Genomic DNA, 12,005 nt, shown 5'->3' on the forward strand with positions numbered 1-12,005 from the left:
TGTTTTTACCTTGAGAAAATTAAAAGTTAAATTAAAAAATTAGAGGCTGTAACTGGACAGACAATGAAGGGTTACATAACGTCAAAAAGCCTTAAGACACAGCGGCTCTTAATCAGCAACTTTGGACACCTATATTTATCTCATCTTACGTCATCTTAAACATTAACGGCAAGATTGGATGGATGAGGTTGAACCATACAATACTGCCATTTCATAGGTAAGACATGGTCTAATATTGGCAGTTCTTGCAGGGTTCAAATTAATGCAAAAGACAAATGAGTCTTAAATGTTTGATTCAAAGCATGCTTTTTGTTTAGATTGTCAATGTGGTATATGATCTACTGTCAACAAACTTCATATGTCATGTCTTAGTCTGTTTTGTGTTGCTATAACAGAATACTGCAGACTGGGTAATTTATAATGAACAGAAATTGATTGGCTCTTGGTTCTAGAGGCTGGAAAGTCCAAGATCAAAGGGGTGGCATCTTGTGAGGGTCTTCTTGCTGTGCTGTTCCACAGCAGAAGGTGGAAGGGCAAGAGAGAGGGAGAAAGAGAAAGAGAGCGAAAGGGGGCCAAAATCCCCTTTTTATGACGACCCCACTCTCAAGATAATGGCATTAATCCATTCACCCCATCCTCAACGCCTAATCACCTCTTGGTGCACCCCACCTCCTAACACTGTTTCATTGGGGATTAAGTTTCAACATACGCTTTTGGAGGGACACATTCAAACCACAGCGCTTACCCATAAGGCAGTGCATTATCACAAAAGCTCATGTGCACAAATATGTGACAAAACTCTAATGTTCAAGGTTTAATATTCAAAAGATTACTTGAATAAGTATTAAGTGCAGATTCTGATTCAGTGGGTCCAGGGTGGCTCTTAGTAATCCACATAGTAAACAACGGCTGCTGGAGATTCTGAAGCAGGTGCACTTATTACTCTAAGAAACCGTGAACATATGGAGCCTTTTGGGCTATTGAGATATTATTTTGAAAAGCCTGAGTAGCACTAATGGTAGAAAGCCCTTATATGGAGCTACTTTGTGCCAGGCACTATTCTAATATATTATTAATTTAACTTTCGCAACGATCCTATGATGCATGGACCATCATTATTAATTTACAGATAAAAAGGCAGAGACCAAATATAAAGTGACTATCCTGCTAACAGGTGGCTAATCAATGGCAGAGCTAGGATTTGAATGCAGTCAGTGTTGGCTCCTCTGCTAACCTGTTTGTCTTCTATCTGACCAACCTTCAACATCTATAAAGGTCATGGAGAAGTGAGAACTCTGGCTAACCCCACGAACTGGGATTGCCACACAGCCCATGCTGTGATTTTGAACAAGTTGCTGTAACTTCTTTGGCCTCCCTTATTAGTAATAGAAAGGAGTTGGATTTCAAACGCTAAGATTTCATGAAACTATAAATCACTTACATAAAAATCCGCTGGCCATCTGTGGCAAGATTAACCAGTTTAATGAGAGTCTGCTTGATGCCAGACATCGTGTTAAAATTATATCAGTTAAGCCTTGGGACCTTTTGTGTTTAAGTGACAGGGCCAAACCCCAAGTTAGCTTACACCAAAAATGGAAGAGGAATTTACTAGCTCTTCAATTGTCTGAGAGACAATAAATTACTAGCTCACCAATTGTCTGAGAGAAAGAATAAATAAGCTCACTGGTGTCTCTTCTTAAAAGGGCACTAATCCCTCTCATCATGAAGGCTCCACCCTCAGGACTTAATTACCTTCCAAAGGCCCCATCTCCAAATACCATCACACTAGGGGTTAGGGCTTCAAAATACGAATTTTGATGGGGGTGGGCACAATGTTCATAGCACCCCCACCCTTCAGGTAACCACTGATCTGTTTTACTAGAGATTAATTTGCATTTGTTGAACTTTACATGAAGGGAATTATACCAAAGAGTACATACCCTTTTGTGTTTGGCTCTCTCACTGCCCATAATTGTTTTGAGACATCCATATTGTTACATGTATCAAGTTCATTCCCTTTTATGGCTGAGTTGTGTTCCATCATATGGCTGGACTACAGTTTGCTTATCCATTCACCCAGTGGATGCTTCTTTCACTTGGGAAATCTTTGCCAAGCCTGGGAGCCCTGTTGTTATGGGTCTAGTCTTCGTGTGAGACTTCATGAGGCACTGTGAGCCCTACTGTCTTTGCTCCTTCATAACATCAGTGTCTTCCTGCTGAAGACCACCAGGAATGCACCTCAATTCATATTCTGGGGCTGCTGTCACAAATCACCACAAACGGAGTGGCTTAAAACATCAGAAATTTTTTCTTTCGTAGTTCTGGAGGCCAGATGTCTAAACCAAGTGTTAGCAGGGCTGTGCTCCTTCTCGAGGCTCTGGGAAAGAATCTGTCCTTGCCCCTTTCAGCTATTGGTGGCCCTAGGTGTGCCTTGGCTTGGGCAACATAACCCAAATCTCTGCTTCCATCTTCATGTGGCCTTCTCCCTTGTGCCTTCTCTTTTTCTGTCTCTGATAAGGACACCCATCATTAATTAGATTTAGGGCCCATCCTAATCCAGGATGGCCTTTCCTAGAGATCCTTGCCTCAGTGACATCTTCAGAGACTCTTATTCCAAGTGGATCACTCCCTTTCTTGGCTTCCTTTGATCTTGCCTTCCATTACTTCCTTATAGCTGGTCCAGTGACAAACTCAGTTTAAGGCTCAATCTCACCAGCTTCTAAGCTAAATATGATTTAGGTGGGAAACAGAGCATCTGCTCTAGCCCTAGAATAAGTCCTTTCTCACATCCTCTTAAAGAGATGCCCCACCATTTCCCAGGATGTATGTTATTCCTCGTTGCAACAAGTATTGAGCACAATCTGTTCGATTACAGGTGCTGTAGTGGGTTGAATAGTGGACCCTCCTCCCCACAAAAAGATATGTTTACCAGGAACCTCAGAAGGTATGTTGGTCAGGCTAGAAGATCAGGGCCTGGTCGGTAGGTGCTCTTCATCTTACCTAAACTACATTGTTTTTTTTTTTTTTTTTTTTTTTTTTTTTTTTTTGAGACGGAGTTTCACTCTTTCGAAAGGCTGGAGTGCAGTGGCGTGATCCCAGCTCACTACAACCTCTGCCCCCTGGGGTCCAAGCGATTCTTACGTCTCAGCCTCATGAGTAGCTGGGATTACAGGCATGCGCCACCACGCCTGGCTAATTTTTGTGTTTTTAGTAGAGACGGAGCTTCACCATGTTGGCCAGGTTGGTCTCAAACTCCTGACCTCAGGTGATCTGCCCACCTTGGCTTCCCACAGTGTTGGGATTACAGGCATAAGCCACTGCGGCCAGCCCTAAATTACATTTTGCTTAGGAGTTGGACAAGATTGAGCCTTCAACTTGGTTTGTCATCATACCAGCTGCAATAGGGGAGCCAAAGAAGGCAGAAGCAAATGAAGCTACACTGTGGGAATGAGCAAGAACATTGCTCACCTGGGCTCAGGGGGCCTTGCCTGCCTTTGTCTGCCCAAGTCACTGATACCAGTTCCTACATACAGTAGACACTGATTAAATATTTATTGGATGAACAAATGAACATTTCTAACTTTGCTTCTTTTTCTCCCATTATTCCCATAGGAGGGGCCCCAATGGAAAGGCTGGCATCTTATGGCTCATCAAAGGCGGCTGTGACCATGTTCTCATCAGTTATGAGACTGGAGCTTTCCAAGTGGGGAATTAAAGTTGCTTCCATCCAACCTGGAGGCTTCCTAACAAGTAGGTTTCTGAGCCCAAGAACCTGTGATGTTCATCCTGGAAGGAACCCCGAAGGTCCTCTTGGTCTGACAGAGCACACATTGAACCCCTCATTGTTGTCAAAGATGAGCACAGCCAGAGATCAGTTAAAGGGGTGAAAACAGGTTTGATTCAGTAACTGCTGACAGTAGGGGAAAGAGCTAAGCTCCATTCTGATTTGTGCGAAGGTGTTTTAAACATTTTAAAAGGAAAACCAGGGAGAGGGGAAAGCATGGCTCAGTAAGTCAGATTAGTGAAAAAGTACAAGGGTCCATCAGTGTCCATGCAGAGGGGCCAGCTGTGTCTGCCAGCTGGCAATTAAAGAAGTCCAGATTCTGTCTTCCCACAGAGACAGAGAAACAGAGGTCTGATCCTTGATGATTCAGTTCCAAAGGAATGGCTCTCAGATCCTGGAGAGAAATGCTTCTGCATTGCAAGAGCTATATATTTACAATTTAAAGTTCTTTTTTAGTAAGTATTTCAGGAAAGGGAAGTCAGGGACCTCTCAGGGATGTCTTGGATAGAACAAATAGTAAAATTTTCTGGCAAGGTTGAGCCTTCTTAGGCAGGCATTTTAGGGAGGGGCTGGTGTTATCCAAGGGACAGGGCCTTATGCTGCTAGAAACTGTGCTGGAGTTTCGTTAAGTCTCTTAGTGCAGGGGGTTGGGAAGGGGTTGTCATGCATCCAGAGCTCTCCAGCTCTCAGTGTCCACCCAGCAGGGCTTGGGTTGCATGGGCCTCTTCTAAGTGCCATGCTCTCCATGTATGGCTTCACCCCTGCTTCCTTTCACAAAGGAATTGCGTTGGCTTATAAGTCATCAGCAAGCAGAGGCCACACTGGGTTAGAACCCTGGTCCCCTGGTGCCTGCTCTGAGCGGGACCTTTCTGGGACACACACTCCCTCCCTCAATGGTAGAGTTGTATTTGGTCTGTGGGAACGCAGCTCAAAAATGGTCCCTAACTGACTCTCACCAATTTTGATTATTTTCATTGCCCCACCCAAACCTGTTTAACAATGTATAATCCATTAGTTTCATACTAGGTTTCTTTATTTGGCTTCAGAGCTTATTTTCATCTAAAAGTTTGAGCAGATAGTCAGAGTAACATTTATTAGTCTTTTGCTGCCATTGGCCAAGAAGGTTTCCTTCCCCAGCTTCTTTATATTTCAGAAACAATATTTTTCTCCTTCCCTCTGAAGAATATGACCCACCTCCCCTCCACCCCAAGAGGAGAAGGCCCTTCTCTCCACTCCCCTCCCTGCATATCTGAACTCTGGGAAGAGGCAGCCTACCCCAAGGCTCAGTCTTCAGTTCTGGGCCATCAAACATTTAACCGATGATTCAAGTGAAGATGTAAAAAGTATGTCTAATAAAAGACCACAGACTGGGAGGTATTGCTAAATGCACGAAAGAACAAACCCTAAAGGTTTGAATGTTATCCCAAATGCAAAAGATAAAATCTATACAGAAATATTGAAATTTTGGCTTGAAACACTTGATAGCTGAGAACCTCCTAAGGTTGCAGAGGGGGTGCAAGACTCAGAGAAAGGGACAGAGACCCAGAGAAAGGGATATGGGTCAACACGATGACAGGCAGGACCAGGGCGATAGAAATGCAGAGAAGATGAAGTCTTGAGATGGGTTTCCAACTTGGGGACTCCCTGGGTTGGGAGGAGAATTGAGGAGAGGAGATGGAGAAGAGACATGGGTCAGAGGTGAAGCCAAATGTGCTGGTTGGACTGAGAGACTGGGATACAAAGAGAGGGAAGCTGCTTGAGAGCTGGTACAAGAGGGAAATGGTGAATTTGATTTTGAATCTGGCAGGAGGATTGAGTGTTTGGTGACACAGCCCAAAGAGAATTCCAACACACAGATGTAAAATTCCATTTAGACGAGAGAGCAATCCTGCAGTTAGGTTATGATTTTGGAGATTCAGTATAATTGCTATGCATAATAGTTCTGGAGAGCTGTTCTCACCCACTTACCATACATTCTTTACTGATGTTGATCTTAATTTTTAAAATCGAGAAATATATAAACAGAAAAAAGCATTATACGCACAGGGTTCAACAAATTATTATAAATCCTCTTGTACTTAACACCCAGATCAAAAAATAAAACATTACCAACACCCAGAAGCCCCTATATGATCCTCTACCATCACAGCCCTCTCCAACCTCCCAATAGGTAATCACCTCTTACTTTTTGTAATGATCATTTATTTGCTTTTCTTTGTAGAGTCACATCCAGCCCACTTAATAGCATTTGACTTTAACTGCTTTTGCACTTTCAATGGAATCAATATGTATGTATCCTTTTGTGTCTGGCTTCTTTCACTCAATATTCTGATTAGACAATTTATCTGCACTGTGTGTAGCTGTAGTCCACTCATTTCATTGCTGTGCAGTATTCTGTGAATATGCCATGATTTTCTACTGTTGATGGGATGTTTGAGTCCCTTCTAGTTTGAACAAGTATGAACAATGCAGCTATGAACTTTCTGGTACATGTACTTTGGTTTTTGTGTGCTTGAATTTTCCCATGACACATGCTGCAGAGTGAAATTGTTACCAAAAAGGGCTCCTGATCCAGATTCCAAGAGAGGGTTTTTGGATCTTGTGTGAGAAAGAATTTGGGGTGAATCTGTAGAGTAAAGTGAAAGCAAGTTTATTAAGAAAGTAAAGGAATAAAAGAATGCCTACTTCTTAGGCAGAGCAGCAGCATGGACTGCTTGACTGAGTATACTTATAGTTACTTCTTGATTATATTCTAGACAAGGAGTGGATTATTCATGAGTTTTCTGGGAAAGTGGGAGGGATGGCCTGGAACTGTGGGTTCCTCCCCCTTTTAGACCATACAGAGCAACTTCTGGACATTGCCATGGCATTTATAAACTGTCCTGGTGCTGGTGGAAGTGTCTTTTAGCATGCTAATGCATTATAAGTAGCATATAATGAGCAGTGAGGATGACCAGAGGTCACTGTTGTTGCCATCTTGATTTTGGTGGGTTTTGGCTGGCTGCTTTACCACATCCTGTTTTATCAGCAGAGTTACTATGACTTGTATCTTGTGATACCAATCCTGCCAACCTCTTATCTAATCCTGTGATTAAGAATGCTTAACCTCCAGGGAATGCAGCCCAGCAGGTCTCATTCTCATTTTACCCAGCCCCTATTCAAGATGGAGTTACTCTTGTTCAAATGCCTCTGAAAGAATGACTAGATCATAGAGTTTTCCTGTCTTCAGCTTTACTGAATCATACCAACCTGTTTTCTAAAATATTGCTCCAATTTATACCTCTACCCTTTCTATGTATACTCCAATCACCACAACTCTGAGGAGCAGGTTTCATTGACATTATTCTCCAGGTGATGGTGCTGAGTTGGGGTGGATAACATGCCCTTGGGTGGGGATCTGGTATCCCACGTACACCGTGATGGTGGAAAATTTGAGATCAGATCCTGAGATGCAGTGCCTGGGTTCTTCCTTTTATATCAGGCTGCCCCCCAGTTTAAAGCTATTTGATGAGCTCTCTCAAGGCAAGAAGCCCAAGAGCAGAAGGCTGAGAACTCATGTTTGGAGAATGACACTTCATACTTATATTTATTTGAAGGTAGGGGCAAGAAAAGGAATCTTCAGGGACACAGACAAGGAGCTTCTGAAGACATTCTAAGAGACATTCCAGATTTTTCTGGTGCCCTGAAATAAAGATAGCTAAATCATACTGCATGCTAGATTAGCAGATTTTAAGTGCTTTATGTGCATTATCTCCCTTAATCCTCACCTGTGAAGTAGGCATCATAATAGCCCCATCTTGCAGTGAGAAAATGGAGGCTCAGAGAAGTTAAGGAAGTTCCAAAGCCATAGAGCTGATAGGAGGCAGAGATGGGATTTTGATACAGGTCATATCAATAACTTCATTGTGTGCAGCACCAAAGTGGCATGGGAGGGATGGGTAGGGAGAGTCTGTCAAAAGTGGGAGATGATGACGGACTGATGGCAAAAGGCTGATGGCTTTGTCACTCACAGAGACAGCTTTGGGGACTCTGGATAGGTTACCCACAAGAGTGGCCAGAAATTCCATGAGGTGTTTAAAGAAGAATGAGGTGTCAGCCCACGAAGACAGGGACAGGGGAGAGGTAGGAGGAGGAATAGTAGCTCACGAAAACATGTTTTTCAGGACCTAGAAACCTCCAGAGTAATTGTCATGATAATCATTTCTTTAAGCACGGTGTGTGCCTTCCTGAAAAGAAAGGAGCAATTGAAACTCCGTTTGCATTTCCATAAGTATAATTGGATTTCACTGGCCTACATTTCCAAGTGAGCATCCCTCCTTCTCTGCAGTCCTGATATCCAGGAGTCACCGAAGCTAGCAAGGGCTCATCCCCACAGCTATGTGAACAACCAAGCACTTTGCAGGAGACAGCGTGGGAGACCGCAAGCTTTTTGGAAAGTAATCTGGCAGTAGCTATTAAAATTCAAAATTAATGTGCCTTCGACCAGGCTGTACTTTGAGGACTCTTGCCTACAGAAATAAAGCCAAAGTAAAAACGAATAGGTGGTGAAAGTCGATTTACTGCAGCAGTGCCTGAAATGCTGAAACCTATAGGAACAACTGGAAGGTCATTGGATAGGGAAGTGATTGGCTAAAAGCTGTTCAATGGGAAATTCTGTTGCTCTGGTTTAATCCATAGACATTGACAAGAAGGGAGGTCTGTGATTTATTACTAAGCCAAAACAAATTCATGGAAAATATAAACACCATAGTATGATCCTTTTTGTTTTTGTTATTTCCTGGTAAAAAAAATTAAACCAAATTCTTCTATGTGTATGTATGTTTGTATGAACAAGGAAGGAATGTAGAAGGGCACACAAAACTGTTAGTTACCTTAGAGGAGATTAATTTTAAAAATATGCACATCTCCTTATTATTCACTTTATATAATGAGGAGGCAGAGCTGCTACATTTTAAAGTAAATAAATTATTTAATTTTATATGATAAGCAGGTATTGTCTTTATTTTAAAAATATATTTATACTTAATTGCATGTAGTTTGTGTATTAAAATTTATGTGTGAATTATATTAAAATTACACTTCATATATTTTTAAAAACATAAATGAAAATTATATCCATTAAGTAGATTAAATATTTAAAATCCTGTATTTATTTATTTATTTATTGAGATGGAGTCTCACTCTCTCACCCAGGCTGGAGCGCAGTGGTGCGATCTCAGCTCACTGTAACCTCTGCCTCCTGGGTTCAAGCAATTCTCCCTGCTTCAGCCTCCCAGGTAGCTGGGATTCCAGGCACCCACCACCATGCCCAGCTAATTTTTGTATTTTTTAGTAGACACAGGGTTTCACCATGTTGGCTAGGCTGGTCTTGAACTCCTGACCTCAGGTGATCCACCTACCTGGGCCTCCCAAAGTGCTGGGATTGCAGGCATGAGCCACCATGCCCAGCCTAAAATCCTATATTTAATTGGTAGGCATTACTTCTATATCTTAAAAAATTATACGTGTGTATGCTTATATGAGTGTATATATACTATATTATATACAGTATATATTATATTGTAGACATTACATGATATATTATATATGTAATAGTCACCAAAAGATGAGTGTCTGTGGCAGCAGCATTTCTAAAGGCCCAGTTGAAAATAAGCGCAGTGCCCATCACAGTATAGTGGATAAATAATTCATGGCATTTTTATGCAACGGAATACTATGCTGAAAGGAGAATCAACACACAGTGCATGGATGAATGTCACAAATATACTGTTGAATAAAGAAGCTGATGCTAAACAATGAGTGCTATTCATACGATTCCATTTATATAAATGTTCAAAACCAGCCAAGATGAATCTGTCCTATTAATCAGGAAAATGGTTACTGAGAAGTGGGCTGAAAGGAGAGATTTTAAGGCTGGTCCTGTTCTGTTTTGTTTTTTTTTTTCTTTTTTTCCCTTTTTCTTTTCTTAAAATTGGAGTGTAGCTCTGTTGCCCAGGCTAGAGTGCAGTGGTGCAGTCATATAATAGCTCACTGCATCCTCCAACTCGTGGGCTCGAGGGGTCCTCCCACTTCAGTCTCCCGAATAGCTGGGACTAGAGATAAGCACCATTGTGCCCAGCTAAATTTCTGTGTATATGTCTATGTCTATGTCTATGTCTATGTCTATGTCTATGTCTATGTCTATGTCTATGTCTATGTGTGTGTATGTGTGTGTGTGTGTATATATATATACACATATATATGTGTGTGTATATATATATACACATTATATATGTGTACACACACACACACACACACACACACAGACACATATATATATATATTTTAGAGATGGGATCTCGCTATGTTGCCCAGGCTGATCTTGAACTCCTAGGCTCAAGCGATTCCCCTTCCTGGGCCTCCCAAAGTGCTGAGATTACAGGTATGAGCCACGGTGCCCAGACTTGTTTTGTTCTTGATCTGTTTGCTAGTCACATGGGCTATCAGTTTGGAAAAATCCAATTACGTGTGCACTTTTCTGTATGTAGGTTTAGAAATGATAATAAATGCCATTATAAAGCACACATTTTAAAAGGCGTTTGCAGGCCAGGCGTGGTGGCTCACGCCTGAAATCTCAGCACTTTGGGAGGCCGAGGCAGGTGGACCAATTGAGGTCAGGAGTTCAAGACCAGCCTGGCCAACATGGCAAAACCCCGTGTCTACTAAAAATATAAAAATTAGCCGGGCATGTTGGTGATGCCTGTAATCCCAGCTACTCGGGAGGCTGAGGCAAGAGAATCACTTCAACTCTGGAGGCAGAGGTTGCAGTGAGCTGAGATCACACCACTGCACTTAAGCCTGAGAGACAGAGAAAGACTCTGTATCCCAAAAATAAAAAAATAAAAAAATAAATAAATAAACGTCATTTGCAAAGGGCCATCCTTCCCAACAGAGACAAGCGCCTGCTCCCTGACTTCCTTGGCCTTCCCAGGATCTGACTCTTCCCTTTCCTTTCACCCCAGATATCGCAGGCACCAGTGACAAGTGGGAAAAGCTGGAGAAGGACATTCTGGACCACCTCCCCGCTGAGGTACAGGAAGACTACGGCCAGGACTACATCTTAGCACAGCGGAATTTCCTCCTATTGATCAACTCGTTAGCCAGCAAGGACTTCTCTCCGGTGCTGCGGGACATCCAGCATGCTATCTTGGCGAAGAGCCCTTTTGCCTATTACACGCCAGGGAAAGGCGCTTACTTGTGGATCTGCCTTGCTCACTATTTGCCTATTGGCATATATGATTACTTTGCTAAAAGACATTTTGGCCAAGACAAGCCCATGCCCAGAGCTCTAAGAATGCCTAACTACAAGAAAAAGGCCACCTAGGCAATGGAAGCCCTCAAAGAAGTCGGAATGTCATAGTCTTGAAATGAAAGGGAAACTGGGAAACTGGGTTTCTCATTAAAGTTGTTTCCCACTCTGTATTCTCTGTGAAATTCATTGATTGAATAGTACTTTGTAGTGAGAAGGCTGGAGAATAGCAACAGCCTCATGGAGAATGTTAATTGAGTTCCTACTATGCACCAGATACATTACAGGTATTCTTTCATCTAGTTCTCATCAGAGAATTGAGGTGGGTATCTTTGCCCCTACTTAATATAATCAGAGAGATTTCTTGTCACACTCTAGCAAAAGGCAGGGCCAGAATTCAAATCCTGAGTTGGACTCCACTGCCTGCCAAGAGAAGAGGAAGAGAAAGAGAGAGACAAGGAGAAAGAGAGAGGGAAGGAAAGGAGGAGGCAGAAATGGCAAGGGCAACAGTCCAATGGATCTTGCAAGTCTTCCTCACTGTGCATTGATATTCCGTGACTACTGCACCCAAGGTATTGGATTCATGGTAAATCATCAGGGCTTCGTTCTCTTCCTTCCTCTTTTTTTTCTCTACCAGGAGCACTGGAGACAATAGGATAAGGTGTCCTATCTCAAGCAGAACGCTGGAGACCTCTTGGCAGATCTAGGGAATGTGGCTGACTGGTTTAGTGCCCATAGTAACCAGCACTGTTACTATGTTACCCCCATCCGAGCATACTGGGATGGAAAAGCCAGTATCATTACCTGGAAGAGCTTAGTGGAAGGGAGCAATGTCAGATAATTATAGAAGTATGGCCAAGGTCAGTTGGGTATGGCAAAAGGGGAGGAGCTGGTGAGCAGAGCGTACATAAAGGGAATCAGAATATCTTGCTC

General features: G+C 42.5%; 1 protein-coding gene across 2 annotated transcripts in view; it reads left to right on the forward strand.

Moving 5' to 3' along the window:
- The window catches only part of HSD17B2 (hydroxysteroid 17-beta dehydrogenase 2), a 63,282-nt gene extending 52,037 nt beyond the window's left edge, over window positions 1-11,245 (forward strand). The window contains exons 4-5 of one of the 2 annotated variants that reach the window (NM_002153.3): window positions 3,613-3,750; window positions 10,786-11,245. In NM_002153.3, coding sequence (NP_002144.1) covers window positions 3,613-3,750; window positions 10,786-11,147 — 500 coding nt within the window. In that variant the 3' untranslated portion in view covers window positions 11,148-11,245. Of the gene's footprint in view, window positions 1-2,875; window positions 2,945-3,612; window positions 3,751-10,785 lie in introns of those variants that run through there. The other variant, XM_047434049.1, reaches the window with a different exon arrangement.
- The last annotated feature ends 760 nt before the right edge of the window (window positions 11,246-12,005 follow it).

This window comes from Homo sapiens, chromosome 16 (assembly GCF_000001405.40).
Source record: "Homo sapiens chromosome 16, GRCh38.p14 Primary Assembly".
In the NCBI taxonomy this organism is placed as follows: domain Eukaryota; kingdom Metazoa; phylum Chordata; class Mammalia; order Primates; family Hominidae; genus Homo; species Homo sapiens.